This window comes from Homo sapiens, chromosome 2, assembly GCF_000001405.40.
Source record: "Homo sapiens chromosome 2, GRCh38.p14 Primary Assembly".
In the NCBI taxonomy this organism is placed as follows: Eukaryota; Metazoa; Chordata; class Mammalia; order Primates; family Hominidae; genus Homo; species Homo sapiens.
In genome coordinates, this window is record NC_000002.12 from 199,953,821 (window position 1) to 199,970,071 (window position 16,251).

At 39.9% G+C, this 16,251-nt stretch overlaps 2 protein-coding genes across 11 annotated transcripts in view, besides 4 other annotated features; one reads left to right on the plus strand and one right to left on the minus strand.

The window, feature by feature from the left end:
- TYW5 (tRNA-yW synthesizing protein 5) overlaps window positions 1–1,671 on the minus strand; it is a 26,579-nt gene extending 24,908 nt beyond the window's left edge. For all 7 annotated transcript variants that reach the window (NR_109907.2, NR_109906.2, NR_004862.2 and 4 more), the window contains exon 1: window positions 1,573–1,671. Coding sequence is in view for 3 of the 7 variants with exons in the window: in NM_001039693.3 (NP_001034782.1) it covers window positions 1,573–1,650 (78 nt within the window). In the remaining 4 variants the exon portion in view is untranslated. The remainder of the gene's footprint in view (window positions 1–1,572) is intronic.
- Window positions 1,315–2,514: an enhancer, noted in NCBI's record as "CDK7 strongly-dependent group 2 enhancer chr2:200819858-200821057 (GRCh37/hg19 assembly coordinates)". NCBI's record gives its function as "activates an origin of replication core promoter dependent on BRD2, BRD4, P300/CBP, MED14 and CDK7 cofactors, with strong dependence on CDK7, by STARR-seq in HCT116 cells {active_cell/tissue: HCT116}" and the evidence as "EXISTENCE:reporter gene assay evidence [ECO:0000049][PMID:35650434]".
- Window positions 1,497–10,297, plus strand: MAIP1 (matrix AAA peptidase interacting protein 1). 4 transcript variants are annotated; one of them, NR_161377.1, is made up of 6 exons: window positions 1,497–1,516; window positions 1,677–2,428; window positions 5,448–5,519; window positions 5,934–6,060; window positions 8,146–8,287; window positions 9,913–10,297. NR_161377.1 is itself a non-coding variant. In NM_024520.3 (6 exons), the coding sequence occupies exons 2-6, from the start codon at window positions 1,979–1,981 to the stop codon at window positions 9,989–9,991; spliced, it is 876 nt and encodes a 291-aa protein (NP_078796.2). In that variant the 5' UTR covers window positions 1,497–1,516; window positions 1,677–1,978; the 3' UTR covers window positions 9,992–10,297. The 4 variants fall into 4 exon arrangements, 3 of the variants coding, with proteins under 3 accessions (NP_078796.2, NP_001356328.1, NP_001381884.1); NM_024520.3 differs by lacking the exon at window positions 8,146–8,287 and adding an exon at window positions 7,961–8,108; NM_001369399.1 differs by lacking the exon at window positions 8,146–8,287.
- Window positions 1,625–1,744: an enhancer, noted in NCBI's record as "active region_16951". NCBI's record gives its function as "activates an Ori minimal core promoter by ATAC-STARR-seq in GM12878 lymphoblastoid cells {active_cell/tissue: GM12878}" and the evidence as "EXISTENCE:reporter gene assay evidence [ECO:0000049][PMID:35858748]".
- Window positions 1,915–2,074: an enhancer, noted in NCBI's record as "active region_16952". NCBI's record gives its function as "activates an Ori minimal core promoter by ATAC-STARR-seq in GM12878 lymphoblastoid cells {active_cell/tissue: GM12878}" and the evidence as "EXISTENCE:reporter gene assay evidence [ECO:0000049][PMID:35858748]".
- Window positions 2,095–2,194: an enhancer, noted in NCBI's record as "active region_16953". NCBI's record gives its function as "activates an Ori minimal core promoter by ATAC-STARR-seq in GM12878 lymphoblastoid cells {active_cell/tissue: GM12878}" and the evidence as "EXISTENCE:reporter gene assay evidence [ECO:0000049][PMID:35858748]".
- Window positions 10,298–16,251: the final 5,954 nt, after the last annotated feature.

Genomic DNA, 16,251 nt, shown 5'->3' on the forward strand with positions numbered 1-16,251 from the left:
TAAAATGTAATGATGCTTTGTGCTGTATGTCTTGTCTGAAGAGATTAAATTACAAAATACCTTTTGCTATGACTCTTACAAAGCACTTCCACATACCCTAATCTTCACAACACTGCCCTTTAGGCAACTTACGTCTAGCACATTCTGAGATAGGGGGTGTCTAAGGACAGGGAGAGCAAGAACAACCCATCTAGTACAAGTCTCCAAACTAATAAAGGCTTGAATCCTCTCCCGTAGGTTGCTATCAAAAGAAAAACTTCATTCCTCCCGCATCCCCCCAACCCCGCCTTTTTTTTTTTTAAGCTAGGGTCTCACCCTCTCGCCCATGCTGGAGCAGTGGCAGGATCATGGATCACTGCAGCCTCGACCTCCCGGGCTCAAGCAGATCCTCCGACCTCAGCCTCCAGAGTAGCTGGGAATACAGGCGTGCGCCACCACGCCCGGCTAATTTTTGTATTTTTTGTACAGACGGGGATTCACCATATTGGCCAGGCTGGTCTTGAACTCCTGACCTCAAGTGATCCACCGACCTGGGCCTCCCAAAATGTTAGGATTACTGGCATGAACCACGGCGCCCAGCCCATCCGACTTTTGTAACACTCAGAATTGTAGTTTTGTTTGTTTGTTTGAGACCGAGTTTAGCTCTTGTTGCCCAGGCTGGAGTGCAGTGGCGCGATCTCGGCTCACTGCAACCTCCGCCTCCCGGGTTCAAGCGATTCTCCTGCCTCAGCCTCCCGAGTAGCTGGGATTACAGGTATGGGCCACCACCATGCCCGGCTAATTTTGTATTTTTAGTAGAGATGGGATTTCTACTGGCTGGTCTTGAACTCCTGACCTCCGGTGATCCGTCCGCCTCGGCCTCGCAAAGTGCTGGGATTACAGGCGTGAGCCACCGCGCCCGGCCCCAGAACTGTAATTCTATGACCACCCTTATAAATGTAAATATCAGGTAAGAAAATTGCTGGGTATTTTTCCTACCATAAACTGACTTACTGTAATCCTGTGGATTTTTCCTTTTAATACCTTGTTTTTCTTAGGTCTGGACTCCCTTGAAAAGCACTGCAAGTAAAAGCACTTTTTGTTTCCCTAATATTTCTCTATGAGTTTTCTTTTAAAGACCTAAGGTTCTAACTACAGGTATAAAAGACTCCAATGTCGGAACTAGAACCTAAGTAAGTTAGAATTCAAGACGAGTAGGAGTTTTCCGGGGGAATCCCATTGCTTTCCTTTTTGGCTCAGTGGAGTGAAAAGTTGTGCCTTCAAATCCATTAATTCGGAGCAGACTGACAGATGCGGAGTAAAGAGTTTAGGCAAAATACCTCTCGCACTCAGCTCTCCGCCATCATCTTGCTCCCCAGAAACATGGGACTTTCTCCGGAAATTTCAATAGAGGAGCCAGTCGGCGTCCCCCGTGCACCTTTCCCTTGGTCTAAGGGCCAACCAGTGATCTGCTGCCGTCCTGCGCCTCTTTCCCACACCCTGGGTCTCTAAAAACCAGTTCCCAGCTGTCCGAAAGGTAAAGACGTGTCTCTCGCTGGTTTCTCGAGGTTCTGCCCCGCGCGAGGGCCTCACCTGTGGGTAGAGGTGCTGCATGAACTGCTCCCGAGAAACGCCCTCCAGCCGGGGTACCGGGAGGTGCTGCCCGGCCATGGTTGCTCACGCCTGCCCTCTTCCAGGTCTTCGGAACTTCGGCTCTAAAGCGTTCCTCAGCGCCATCCGCCCGGAAACACGAGCGACAGAGAAAAGGTCCGCGAGGCCGGCAGACTCCAGAGTGGCTGGGTCCGAGCGCGGGGCGGGTTGCCGAAGGGCCTCGGCCTGGGCTGCGTGCTGGAGAGCGGGGACGGGGCCGACTCACCAGAGGCTGCAGCAACAGGTCCACTTTGCTCTCCAGTCTCTTTCTCCGACACCGCTGAGGCGGTTTCCCACCGACTTCCTTTCCATACAGCACCGGCAGGCACCGGTGTGAAGGGTCATAAAAATGGCGCTGGCCGCTCGTTTGCTACCCCAGTTCCTGCACTCTCGGTCGCTGCCCTGCGGGGCCGTCCGACTCCGGACTCCTGCTGTGGCCGAGGTGAGGCTGCCGTCGGCCACACTTTGCTACTTCTGCCGCTGTCGCCTCGGCTTGGGAGCGGCGTTATTTCCACGAAGCGCTAGGGCCTTGGCAGCCTCGGCGCTACCTGCCCAGGGCTCCCGGTGGCCAGTGCTCAGCAGCCCGGGACTCCCCGCAGCCTTCGCTTCTTTCCCTGCCTGCCCTCAGCGCAGCTACAGCACGGAGGAGAAGCCCCAGCAGCACCAGAAAACCAAGATGATCGTCCTGGGATTCTCCAACCCCATCAACTGGGTTAGGACTCGAATTAAGGCCTTCCTTATCTGGGCCTATTTCGACAAAGAGTTCAGCATCACAGAGTTCTCCGAGGGAGCGAAGCAGGTTTGTTTATTTCCCTGATTGACCTATCCGTCTCTAATGAGTTCAACTATTGCTCGCAGAAGTGCTTAGCAGTGAGTTTTCTTCACTGGGATACAAGTGATCAAACGTGATTAGTGGCCCAGACATAGAGCCTTCCAGCCATTGCTTGACTTAAAGTAAGCTTCTGGGCCGGGAATGGTGGTACACGCCTGTAGTCTCAGCTACTTGGGAGGCTGAAGGGGAGGATCGCTTGAACCCAGGAGTTGGACGTTGTAGTGAGCTGTGATCGTGCCATTGCACTCCAGCCTGGGATACAGAGCCAGGCCCTGTCTCAGAAAGAAAAAGCTATATGGCTCATCTTGTCTGAACATAATTTTCAAATTTACAAAGTGGGCAAGACAATGCCTGGCACATAGTAGGCACTCCATGAATGTTTGCTGAATACATTAATAAATGGGTAAGATTGAAGAATAATTGAGATAACATTTCCAAAGTGCTGTAATGTCACCTTGGGTAGAAGAGCAGAACTTCCTGCCAGCTATTAGACAGAGCCGACCAATACACCACCCCATACTCCGTAAAGATTAAACTGGAGATGAGCAATTTTACCCTTTCAAAGGATTTGCTGAGACTGCCTGGTGGCTAAGTGCACAGCACCCTGCACACAGAAAATATTTAGCCTTTAGAGATTCTTATCCCTGACTTTGTTAGTTACGTACCTGTTTCTGAATGGCTGATTATACCTTGCCTTACCCTTGTGACATATGGTCACTTGGGTCCTGAGATTATTTGTAGATTTTGTGGGTACATGCTTTTTTTTTTTTTTTTTGGACTCCTTTACAGATTGTATCGTTCCCAAACATTGCAGAACTGCTGATAACAATAGAAGTCGGCCAGGCATGGCGGCTCACGCCTGTAATCCCAGTACTTTGGGAGGCCGAGGCAGGTGGATCACAAGGTCAGGAGTTCGAGACCAGCCTGGCCAATATGGTGAAACAGTGTCTCTTCTAAAAATACAAAAATTAGGCGTGGCGAGCCCCTGTAGTCCCACCTACTCTGGAGGCTGAGGCAGGAGAATTGCATGAACCCGGGAGGTGGAGGTTGCAGTGAACCAAGATTGCGCCACTGCACTCCAGCCTGGGTGACAGAGCGAGACTCCGTCTCAAAAAACAAAAACAAACAAAAAAACCACAATAGAAGTCAGAAAGTTTATTTCCCGCTTCATACCTCCATATGCCTTAAAACCATGCTATTGGTGTAATCATTTTACAGTATTGGTTGTATACTGGTATTGATATTTTACTCCAAATTTATTTCAGATTCTTTCCATAATCATGGCCATTTGTATTTATAAGACCAATCAGTTGTAAATCAAATGTTTTCAACTTTGTTTAATAAGTGTCAGTATTAACTCCTGCTGCCTGCTTCTCTGAGTCAACTCTTGACTACTATATATATTTATATAAAAAAAGTCAAAGAACAAACTTGATTAAGATGCTTAACTCAGCATTATAATTGATAAACCTCTGCTCTTGTCAGTTCTCAAAGTCTTTTGTCCATGCAGTGGTAAGTTGTATTGATCCTACTGTTCTGTACAATGCCCACTGATGATATATGAGCTTGTCCACCTCATAACACATATGATGGTACCAGTTCATTTATGTTTCAGTAAGGAATGGAAATCATCTCCCCACCATGGGCAGGCATCAGGCCTCAGTACTTGTTTCCTCTGAACACACAGAGGAGCATGCAGCATTTTTGGGGTCACTCCAGTCCTAGTGGTCCTCCAGCTGTTAGCTATTTTCACCTCCTTCCTTGCTATTAAGCAGTATTTCCACCCCATTCATCAGCCAGCCTGTAAGCATTGTTGCTTATATAAAGCAAACAACCTGAATTTCAGTATCAAGGTGTCGGAGGGGTTGTTTTCTCCTGAGGCCTCTCTCAGCTTACAGATGGCCGTCTTCTTGCTGTGTCCTTGCATGGTCCTCCCTGTGCATGCGTGCTCCTGGTGGCTCTTACTCCACATTTGCTCCTCTTATAAGGATGCCAGTCAGATTGGATTTTGGCCCACCCTGATGGTCTCATTTAACTTAATCATCTCTTTAAGGCTTTATCTCCAAATATAGTCACATTTCAAGGTTCTGGGGGTTAGAGCTTCAGCATAAATTTTCGGGGAAGGAGAGCACAATTCATCCTATAACAGTTAGGCAGTATTCTCTGACATGCCATATCTGACATGCCTGTGCATCCTCTGGCAGCCTAGATTTCAGCTTAGATGTTTCTTCCTTTAGGAAGCCCTCTCTGATCCTCCCAGATTGGGTTAGAAGGCTCTTCTGTATGCTCCCAAGTCATCCTGTTCTTATCCCTGTCAAAATTCTTCAACTTGTCAGTTTACTTGTCCTTTTCCCATGTAGACTGAAAGTTCCCTGAAGACAGGTAGGATCTTAACTCACAGTTTGCTTTCTCATTGCTAGCAGTGAGGAGAATTGCAGTTGGGTTTTTCCCTCCTTGAAAATGGAATTTCATACTTCAAAGTTAGGATCTACTGTTTTAGACCACATAAACTAATGACCTTCTCTCCCACTTTCCCAAACCTACATTATCTCCCATACTGAGATTCAGACTACAGCCCAGATTTCCAGACTCCCAATGCAGTCTCGACTGTTCTCCTTTCCAACTGCTATCTATGCATGATTAAGAGGTAGGTCATATAACTGCCAAATGATTGTTTACTTCATCATTTTAAAAAGAAATATAAAGGAGGATTTTTATTGAGACATCTAGATTGTACACCACACACTATCATTTCCCGGTCCTGAGAGTGGATCCAGAATTAAAGGTCAAGTCACTTACTGCTATATATGTGGGAAGGCCATATATGAAAAGTCAACCAAGAGTCATGCCTTGATAAATTAATATTTGATGTTGTTTATCACTATTACCATAAAATAGTCTGTATTACACTTAGCCATTTAAATATGAACATGGTATGGTATTTTGAAATAATAATCCCCACACTTCCCTTAATATTTTTTTCAAGGCTTTTGCTCATGTATCCAAGTTGCTGTCACAGTGTAAATTTGATCTGTTGGAAGAACTTGTGGCCAAAGAGGTAAAGTATATTTTACATTTTGCTTTAAAAATAAATGCTATTCTCTTGCAATAGAATGATGCACATTTTCCTTATTTATGCTTAAAAATAGTGTGTGTGCCAGCATCCAAAGTAGAGTCTGTGTATCTGTTCTTATGGGTACTTTGGGTCATATAAAAGCATGGAATAACTCCTGCCACTTAAGGCATAATGAAGTAATCATGATGTCTTCCAATTGCTCTTATATGGAATGTTCTGTTAGGAATTACCTACTTGAATAATGAGATACATTTCAGCCTTGCTTTTGAGGATGAGTAAATACGGTAGTAAATTTAAAAATAGGTTTGGAAAAATGTATTCCATGATAAAGATCACTTTTTGAAAGTTTTCAAAAATTGTATCAGTGAACTAATGGCTTGCTTTTTTCAAACTTAGGTGCTACATGCATTGAAAGAAAAGGTTACTTCACTACCTGACAACCATAAAAATGCCCTTGCTGCTAACATAGATGAAATTGTATTTACATCAACAGGAGACATCTCCATTTACTATGATGAGAAAGGTAATACCAGAGCATAGTCAACTTGAAATGATCCATAATTGTCCAGATAAGCTAAACTAGTGGATAATCACAAAATAGTAGAGTTTTGTCAGGACAAGTATTTATAGAACTTCAAAGAAAATGTTATATCCATTCTTTAAAGACCTACTTCTGAAAGAGTTGAGATATGGTCATCATTTCTTAAGCCTTTCTATCTAGAACTTTTTTCTGCTACTATTTTATTCACAGTAGAGAACATCATCACTTACATTGATGAAAATAGTTTGAGTGGCTCCCACGTCTCAAATAGAAAATATTTATGTTTCAGATTTCCTAACTTGAAGGAAACAATTGAGTATTTTAAAGCTGCACTTTATATGGAAGGAATGAGGGGTAAAAGAAAATCAAATTAGATATTGTCAGCTAAAGACAATTTGAAAAGGTTAACTGCAGAACTCCCAAATTGGATCTATTTGAGAATAATGAAAAAAGTTGGTAGGAAATTTAGTGGTTATCTGGTTCTTCTTGTCTGAGGCATACATTTTCCCTATAGCATTCCTGATAATTCACTGTTTGTTCCTGATACATACAAAGTTGGCCCTCTGTATCTGGGGGTTTCGCATCCACAGATTTAACCAATCTAGGGTAAAAAATATTAAAAAAAAATAGTTGCATCTGTACTTGAACATGTGCAGTTTTTTTCTTGTCATTATTCCTCAATAATACAGTATAACAACTATTTACATTAGCATTTACATTGTGTTAGGTATTATAAATAATCTAGAGATGATTTAAAGTATACTGGAGGATGTGTGTTATGCAAATACTACACCATTTTATATAAAGGACTTGAGCATCTGTGGATTTTGGTATCCACAGGGGGGTCCTGGAACCAATCCTCCGTGGATTTTGAGGGATGACTCTATTTGCATATGTATTATGTGCCAGCCACACAGGAAATGGAGCCTCTGCTTATACACTTCCCAAGATGGAAGAAAAAGACTCTTAGTGATGATAAAATTTTTCATGCACACATTATTTTGAAATATTTGTAAAGATATTTTTAGTGATAAATATTTTCCGCTTCCCTAATATTTCAAATTGCATCTCAGCACCATGGTCACTAACTAATTTTTGCATCAGGAGTTTGTCAGAATCACCAGGCACAGTAAGGTGAATTGGGTAGAATAGGAAGCCTTTACTCTTTCTGGCAGTTGAAGTTAAGATAGTTACTGAGCAGCAAAAAATATTTTTTTTCTCCTCATTTTTGGTTTGACAACAGGTATCTGTCAGGAGATTATTATAATCTTAGAAAATGCCTGGCCAGATGTGGTGGCTCACACTTGTAATCCTAGCATTTTGGGAGGCTGAGGCAGGTGGATCACTTGAGCTCAAGAGTTCAAGACCAGCCTGGGCAACATGGCAAGACCCAGTCTCTACTGAAAATATGAAAAAATAGCCGGGCATGGTGGTGCGTGCCTGTGGTCCCATCTACTTAGGAGGCTGAGGTGGGAGGATCGCTTGAGCCTGGGAGGCGGAAGTTGCAGTGAGCCGATACTGCGCCACTGCACCCCAGCCCGGGTGACAGAGTGAGACTCTGTGTCAAAAAAAGAGAAAGAAAAAGAAAATGCCACTAATTGAAAATAATCCATGTAGTATACTTAGTAAAGTACGTGCTCAGTTAAGTAGTAGTTTTATTACTGAGATACAGAGAAGAGGGCAAGTATGCCATAAACCCTAAGACAATTTTCTAAAAATAAAATAGTATCAATACAAGTATTTTAAGTCACATCAGAATAAGCACAAAATTTGACCTGTAACAACTGTATAACTGCTGCCAATTTCTGATTTCATTTTGTTTATATGGATGATAGATTATTTTGATTTGTATTCGTATGTGTGTATATGTTTTTTCTCTAAGGAAGGAAGTTTGTTAACATCCTGATGTGCTTTTGGTATCTAACCAGTGCCAACATCCCCAGTGAAACTTTAAGAGGAGCCAGTGTATTCCAGGTTAAGTTGGGGAATCAGAATGTGGAAACTAAACAACTTCTTAGTGCAAGCTATGAGTAAGTTTAATCAGATTTCATTGTTTCCTTTCTTCAGAAAATGGAAGGTAGTGTGAAGGTATGAAAACTAAGAGATCTTTAGGAAGAAAAGAATTGAAATTTGACAAGTTATTTATGAAGAGAAAAGGTCAGAAAGACACACTGGATATGAAACAGGAGAGTTAAGAAATTAGAAAGAGGTAAAGTTGCTGAATTTAATTAAATGATGTTTTAGCTGTCTATTGCTGCTTAACAAACTACCCCCAAATTCATTGGCTTCAAACAGCCATTGACTTTGCCTGCTATTTCACTGCTCAGAAATTTTGGATAGGCTCAGTTAGGGGGTTTTCTCTGCTTCACCTGGCATCAACACGAGTGGCAGGAGCTGGAGGATTCATTTCCACAGTGACTTCTTAACTCGCATGGGTGGCACCTTGGTACTCCTTGGCTTCTGCATGACTCTGTATTCTCCAGGGCCACTCTTTGTGGCTTGGACTTGTGGTAGTTTCAGACTAGTCATATCTTTCATATAGTGGTTGAATTCTAGGAGGCAGAAAATGGAAGCTGCTAAACCAGTAAAGGGCTATGCCCAGAATTAGAACATCAGTTCTGCCATAGTCTACTTGTCAAAGCAGTCAAAGGATCTGTATAGTTTAAAGGGTGTAGAAAGACTCCCCCATTTTTTGGGGCAAAAACCAGCAAGGCCACATAGCAGAAGAGCACATGGGAGGGGAGATATGGTTGTGGTCATTTTTGGAAAATAAAATCTGCCATAATTGGTACATGAACAATTTATTCACTAGACATCTGTTGGTCATCTGTGTGCCCACATGCTCTGGTAGAGGTTCAGATACAAAGTTGAAGGGATACTGCCCTTAAGCACATACTGTATAGTAGGAAGTTAGCAAGTTACGTAAAAGAGACATTATATTGTATTTTTATGCGAATAAAATCTAGAACAGTGAACTGCTGGAGCAAGTCAGTGAAGATATAATTTAACATTTATTAAAAAAATATGTTGCCAGAGTTACACAAATCTGCTTCAAAATAACAAACCCCAAAAATGACCTAAGAAATAAAATGTATTCTGTTTTACTAAGGTAAAAGAGAATTATATCCTCATTTTTTTTTTGCTCTTCTTAAAAGAAATGTGTTTTTTTAAATTTTGCTTTATTTGTAATTACCCAAAATATTCTATATATTTAAATACTTAATTTAAATCTACTGAATTGCCTGTTAAGAAATAATTTTTAAAGAGCACTGTCGTCAATACTAAACTTTATCTTTTCTGATGTTTCTTACTAAGACTATGGGTACTTCATAAACATTGTTATTTTCAAGATTGATTTAATGTATGTAAACTAAATTCCACTATTTATTCCTAAATTGGTAACAGTGCTATTTGAAAAATAGCTTTTTGCCTGTATCCTAGGTTATGTATTTAAAGTGCTGTTTGCATCACCAGAGTCCAGTTTATCTGTCCTCATATTAGGCATGTGTTATAGCTAGTATTTAACACATACTAGCTATATGTGTTATTTATATAACACATATATCCAAGTTTCTCTTAGGGGCTGGTAGATGTTGAATATAGATTAGTCCATTAAAAATACTTACATTACTTGAGAATGTACTTCAATTTTGTGGGTATATTTATTGTGATTGAATGGGTAGGTTAAACTTTTTTTTGTTTTGATTTTGATTTAATATTAACCATTATCTTGTTGCCAAAAATTCTTCTAAATATACACTTGCAAATTACATAGTTATCTAACACATACTTGGACTGATGTAAGATTTACATTATTTGCAATGTCTTTCCTAGGTTTCAGAGGGAGTTCACACAAGGAGTAAAGCCTGACTGGACCATTGCACGGATTGAACACTCAAAATTATTAGAATAATTTTCTTGGAAAAATCAGCTTATGGACTTTAGCAGTTGCTGTGAAAAACTAAGGAAGAAAAATTTTGGGGTCATTTGATCTTCACTTAATCTAAGTCTGTGAATTACTTTTATATTATTTTGAAATACTCCTTGCAGTATATTGGCATGATACAGTAAAAGCATTTTCCACAGATTGTTATCACCTTCTTTAAAAGAAGTCAAAATTTAAAAAATACAATAGCACGTTGTTGGTGTCATATTCAATAACATTTCCAATGCTACATATAATTTTATAGACATAATAAAGAAGGTATTGAAAAAACTACTTACAAATTTCTTTATATATTTTTTAAATTGTTTGAGAAACAGGGTCTTGCTCTGTCTCCCTGGATGAAGTCCAGTGGCATGATCATAGTTCACTGTAACGTCGAGCTCCTGGGCTTGAGCGATCCCCCTGCCTCAGCCTTCAGAGTAGCTGGGACTACAGGCATCCACCAGCATGGCTGGCTAATTTTAAAAAATTTTTATAGAGATTTCACTATGTTGCCCAGCTGGTCTTGAACTCCTCAAGTGGTTCTGCCTCGGCCTCCCAAAGAGCTAGGATTATAGGCATGAGCCACTGCACCCAGCCTACTTACACATTTCTAAATTAATAGTTCTTAAATATTTTATTTGTGGCTAATACATTTACACTTTTTTTTTTGACGGAGTCTCCCTCTGTTGCCCAGGCTGGAGTATAGTGGTATGATCTCAGTTCACTGCAACCTCCACCTCCTGGGTTGAAGCAATTCTCCTGCCTCAGCCTCCCTTGTAGCTGGGACTACAGGTGTGCACCACCATGCCCAGCTAATTTTTTTTTGTATTTTTAGTAGAGACAGGGTTTCACCATGTTAGCCAGGCTGGTCTCGAACTCCTGACCTCAGGCAATCCGCCCGTCTCGGCCTCCCAAAGTGCCGAGATTACAGGCGTGAGCCACTGTGCCTGGCCTTATACCTTTATTTTAAGTATGTGTAAGATTTATTCATTTATTTTTTAATCACTGCTGCTATTTGGCCTCTTTGGTCACTAGCTAGGTAAGAAGGAATAGATGAAATTATAGCAGATAGGTCTCTACAGAACTGAAAATCAGTGAATTTAAAAGCATGCTAAGATACAAAGAGAGAGAAAAAAACAGGACAGTGTCTTAGCCACCTATGGGATAATATCAACTATTCTAATATACTTGTATTTTGTGTCCTAGAAGTTGGAGTAGTGGAAACAAAAATAGTATGTTAAGAAATAATGGCTGAAAAGTGTCCTAGTTGATGAAAACTATAAGCCCACAGATTACAAGAAATTCAACAAACAAGGTAACACAGAGAAAAAAGTCTGATCAAGGTACATCATAATGAAATTGTTGAAAACCAGAGAAAGTTGCAAAAGCAGCTGGAGGAAAAAAATAAAGGTACATTCATGCAGAGAAACCAAGATAAGAATAGCTACCTATTTTTCTTAAACAGCAAGTTAGAGACCTTGGCATGCTATCTTAAAAGTGCTGAAAAAATAACCGGTTTACCTAGAATTTGATATTCAGCAGAAATCTTCAAAAAGTGAGAAGACTCAGAGAAAAGATGAGACAATTGATTGCCAATGGACATGTTTTATAAGAAATGTTAAGGACCAATGGACAGAATAGAGTTCAAAAATGGACCCATGCATATATGGACAATTGATTTTTGACAAAGGCACAATGAGCTGTGTGTGGTGGTGTGTGCCTGTAGTCCCACGTGCTTGGGAGACTGAGATGGGAGGATCACCTGAGCCTGGAGAGGTTGAGGCTGCACTGAGCTGTGATTGCACTCCAGTCTGGGCAAAAGGGTGAGACCCTGTCTAAAAAGAAAAGAAAACAAAACAAAAAGGCACCAAAGCAAAGAGGAAAAGCATCTTTTCAACAAATGGAATAAGTATATATTCATATGAGAAATGAACCTCGACTTTTACATCACATACATAATTTTAGTGAAAAATTTAGATTTTAAAATGGATGATAGACCTAAACAAAAGCTAAACCTAGAAATTCTAGAAAAAAAAAAATAGACATTTGCTGTCTTGAGATTAGCAAAGATTTTCTTAGGATATAGAATGCATGAACCATGAAACAAAAAAAATTTATAACTTGGAATTTATTAAAATTAAAACTTTTTGAAAGACAACAGTAAGATAATTAAAAGGCAGTTCACAGATTGGGAAAGATGATCTGAAAAGGTTTTAACAAAATTAGCTGAGACTACCATATCTTTGAAACAAGGAGAACATGCAATGGCTCTTTGACAATTTTCATGCTGTTATGGCCCCTAGGGAGAAGAGCTTTATCTTTTCACACACCTATATAACTGAACTTTTATGATAACCTTGAACGAGTCAATGGATTCTTATGGCCTTTATTGCAAATATTCTGACCTCATCTGTGGACCATAGATAATTCTGTAGTTATTTCTTGAATTTTATATAGTGAAAGTTTTCCAATGCATAGACCAGTTAGTAAGTGTATACATGAGGGAAAATTTTAGGGAGCCTTAAAAATAACCCTTCTGCTTTATTTTATCTGGAAATTCCATGTAAGATAGGACTTATGTCACAAAGAAGAAAGGAATGTTCTCATAGTAGTCCCAAAGTAACATTTAAATATTGAGTCTGGTGAAAAGATTTGGGATTGATAGAAAGTCCCACTTCTGAATTGCTTTAGTAAAACAAGGCCAAGTAAAGTCCACTTTTCATCAAGCCTTCTACAACTTACATACACCCTCAAGTTTGCTTGTTACTATTTTCTTTCACATTATTGCACAACCAAACATTTTCACTTTAAGACAAAACTCCCTTTCCCCTCTTCTGAACTTGTAGTACAAGTCAATTCATCTTTCCTCTGGCTCTTCAACTTTAAAATGTTTTTCTGAGCAATCTGATATTCTACGGAAGTAGAATTAATGATAGATAGGCGGCATGTTTAGTAACATAAAAGCTGCATTGTTGTCCATCTGTATTTATAGACAATTCCCCTTGGGACTTTAGAGGAATGACAGAAAATTGCTGGGTGCTGAGTTTTCTCTTACAGCAGGGACAAATCTTGGATAACTCTGTTTCTTTCATATTTTGTTCAAAATATCGCCCATTGTTTCCTTCACTGGCTTTTCTGCTTACAACATCTACAGGTGTTCCTAGCCATAGGCTCTTTATTTTTAAAGAACAGAGGACTTTTGGTATTTTTAACTTGGAGCCAGTTACTTTATCTGAAGGGTGATAAGTTTGGTTTAATTTTCAGCTAGTTTCCTTTTTAAAGCTCATTGAAAATGTTCAGCTACATGTTGGAACTCTCCTAAACTGGCAATTTTCCATTCCATTGTGCAATTGCTGTTTAAGACCCCTGTTTTGAGTCTCAGCCCATTACAATGACAGATAAGGTTCCCTTCATTTCATATATTGGGGCTATTCCAACTGTCTACTCAAACTGAAACTTTCCTAAAATCCATCTTTAAAGTCTTGTATTAATTTGTCTTCACTTTGCTTACAATGTTGAATCTGTTCATATCCGTAAAGGAAAAACTGCATGTCCCTATATAGTGTACTATATATACATCTATTTTCCCTCTCAAAGCCATTTTCTTCACTTATACACAGCTAAGTGATGAAAATCTCCTCCTGGTGTTTCCCATCCTGCTGCTTTTAACCATTTTTCCCTTTTGAGAGACTAGCAATTAAGCAAGCTATATAAATTAAATAGTCCAAAATAATGTCTATCTAACAAAATTCCAAATTCTGCAGCGAATTTGTGTTAGTCTTACTGATGCTCTAGACCAAGGTTTAAATTCAGCTTCTATTGATCCTGCTTTCTGTTCTAGCAAGTCTAAGGAGAATACTATACAATGACCTTTTCTGAGAAAAGTCCTGAGGAAAGGGTATCACATTTAGACATTTAGGAGACCAGGAGTAGAAGGAATTGAAAGAATATGACTGAGTGATGAGAATTCGATATCATCTATATACGGAGCATAGTTTCAGAAGGCTTGAATGATAGGAAATTAGAGAGTCTTTGAAAGAGACTATCTTCTCATCAACTGTTTGTTTTGAGGTCTCGACACACCAAAGAAGTTGACTACTGAATTGTGAATATTATTAGTTTTCCTCATTTTTCTAGAGCTCTGCTTAAATGTATTAATTTTGACTATCAGAATGTCCCCCAAGGTAATCATTGCTACTTTGAGTTAAAAATATTTTTGCTGTACTAGGGTGAGCACGTGAGTTAGTATTTTAGTGAGAATTCATATAAAAAGTAGTTCTGCCAGTAAGAAGTTATGACTTTAATTTAGAAAAATTCATGACAAACAAGAAAGAAGCCATTATAGTCAAACAAAAATATATGCTAAAGAATAGCATCTCGGGTTACCTACCAACTGGGGCTAAGAAGGGACTATGCAATGAATGACATGACAATTTTTTACCCTGGCATATGGACTAAACAAAATGGCCTTTCATTAATTGATAAAAGAGGAAGTGTCCCTATGAAGGTGTTTAGGGGACAAAAGGCAAAGTTTGATCATGAATTTGTCATTGTCTACTGGACCTCTAATTCATAGTCCTTGGACTCAACTTGGATTGAATTGGAGGCTGAATGGACTTATTCCTTTGTTCATTCCCTATGTAGAACCCCCTTATATATCCAAGAAATAAAATGACTATGAAAGACAAAGAAACAGGAAAAAAAAAAAGTCCTAAGCCAAGACTCTGTACTAGTAGATGCACTAAAGCAAAACAAGCACACGCTTGAAGAATAATGAAATTAATGGCCAAAATATTGACAATGCCATCTACAAAGAACTATTTTGATAGGAATCCTCATTTAACAAACTCAACAATACATGCTCACTGAGAGTCAGAGTACAGATCAATATTGAGACAAATATACTTGGAACAAATCCAAAGGATAAATGAAATCTGGACACAAAGGGACCTGATGAGGACACCTTTATTTATTTTTAAGTTAGAGTCATCAAAATAACCTTGGTGGAACCTCATAGTTGTCAAAATATGAGACCACCACTGAAAATCAATATAAAACCCCAAATTTGAATTGATTTATTACCTTAGTAAGGGAGGAGTCTTGTCAAGCAGAGCAAACCATTGATCTTACAGGGATTTTTGAGGAAGAGTGTGTTGTGTTAGTGAAAGGTGGGAGTGGAATTATGTCAGCTTTATTTCAGATGTGTTAGTTTTCATGTCTACATGTTCCATTTGATTCTTTCTCATAGCTTCTCTATGTTCATGTTTTCCTTTAACTTGCTGGGCATAGTTATAACAGCTTTTTGTTTGTTTGTTTGTTTGTTTTGAGACAGGGTTTCATTCTGTTGCCTAGGCTGTAGTGCAGTGGTGTGATCTTGGCTCACTGCAACCTCTGCTTCCCAGGCTCAAGTGATCCTCCGACCTCAGCCTCCCAAGTAGCTGGGACTAAGGTGCATGCCACCATGTCCAGCTAATTATTGTAGATTTTGTAGAGATGGGGTCTCCTTATATTGCCCAGGCTGGCCTCAAACTTCTAGCTAAAGTGATCTGCCTGCCTCTGCCTCCCAAAGTGCTGGGATTACAGGTGTGAGTCACTCTGCCTGGCCCAACAGTTGTTTTAAAGTTGTCTTTCTTTAAAATCTCTTTCTAGTAAGTGATTTTTCTTTTGGTTATGGGCCACATTTTCCTGCTTTTGGCTGGTCTAGTAATTTTTAAAAAATAAATAGGGACAAGTTCTCACTATTTTGCCCAGACTGGTCTTGAACTCTTGGACCGAGCAATCCTCCTGCCTTGGCCTCCCAAAGTGCTGGGATTACAGGTGTGAGCCACCAGGCCTGGCCTGGTCTAGTAATTTTTTATTGGACACTGAATTTATGAATTTTCTGTCATTGAATATCTGGGTATCATTGGGTAGTATTTGCCTTGAGAAGAATGTTGAACTGTGTTCTCTTAGGTAGCCAGTTAGGTTATTTGGGGTTCAGGTTGATTTTTTTGAGGCTATTGTTAAGCTTTGTTAGGGTTTATCTAGACTAGTTTTTACTCTACCAAGAGTGTAGCCCCATTTGTATGGAGTAATTTATGGGGTCTCTACTGGATGCCCTGAGTTATCAAACAGGACAGCACTCTCCATGCTGGCTTAGGGAACCCAAATGAATTCCCAGCACTACAGGCTCTCTGAGAACTGTTCACTTCACAGCTTCTAGTCACTCTTTGCTTGACTTTATAGAGTCTCACTCTATAGCTTTT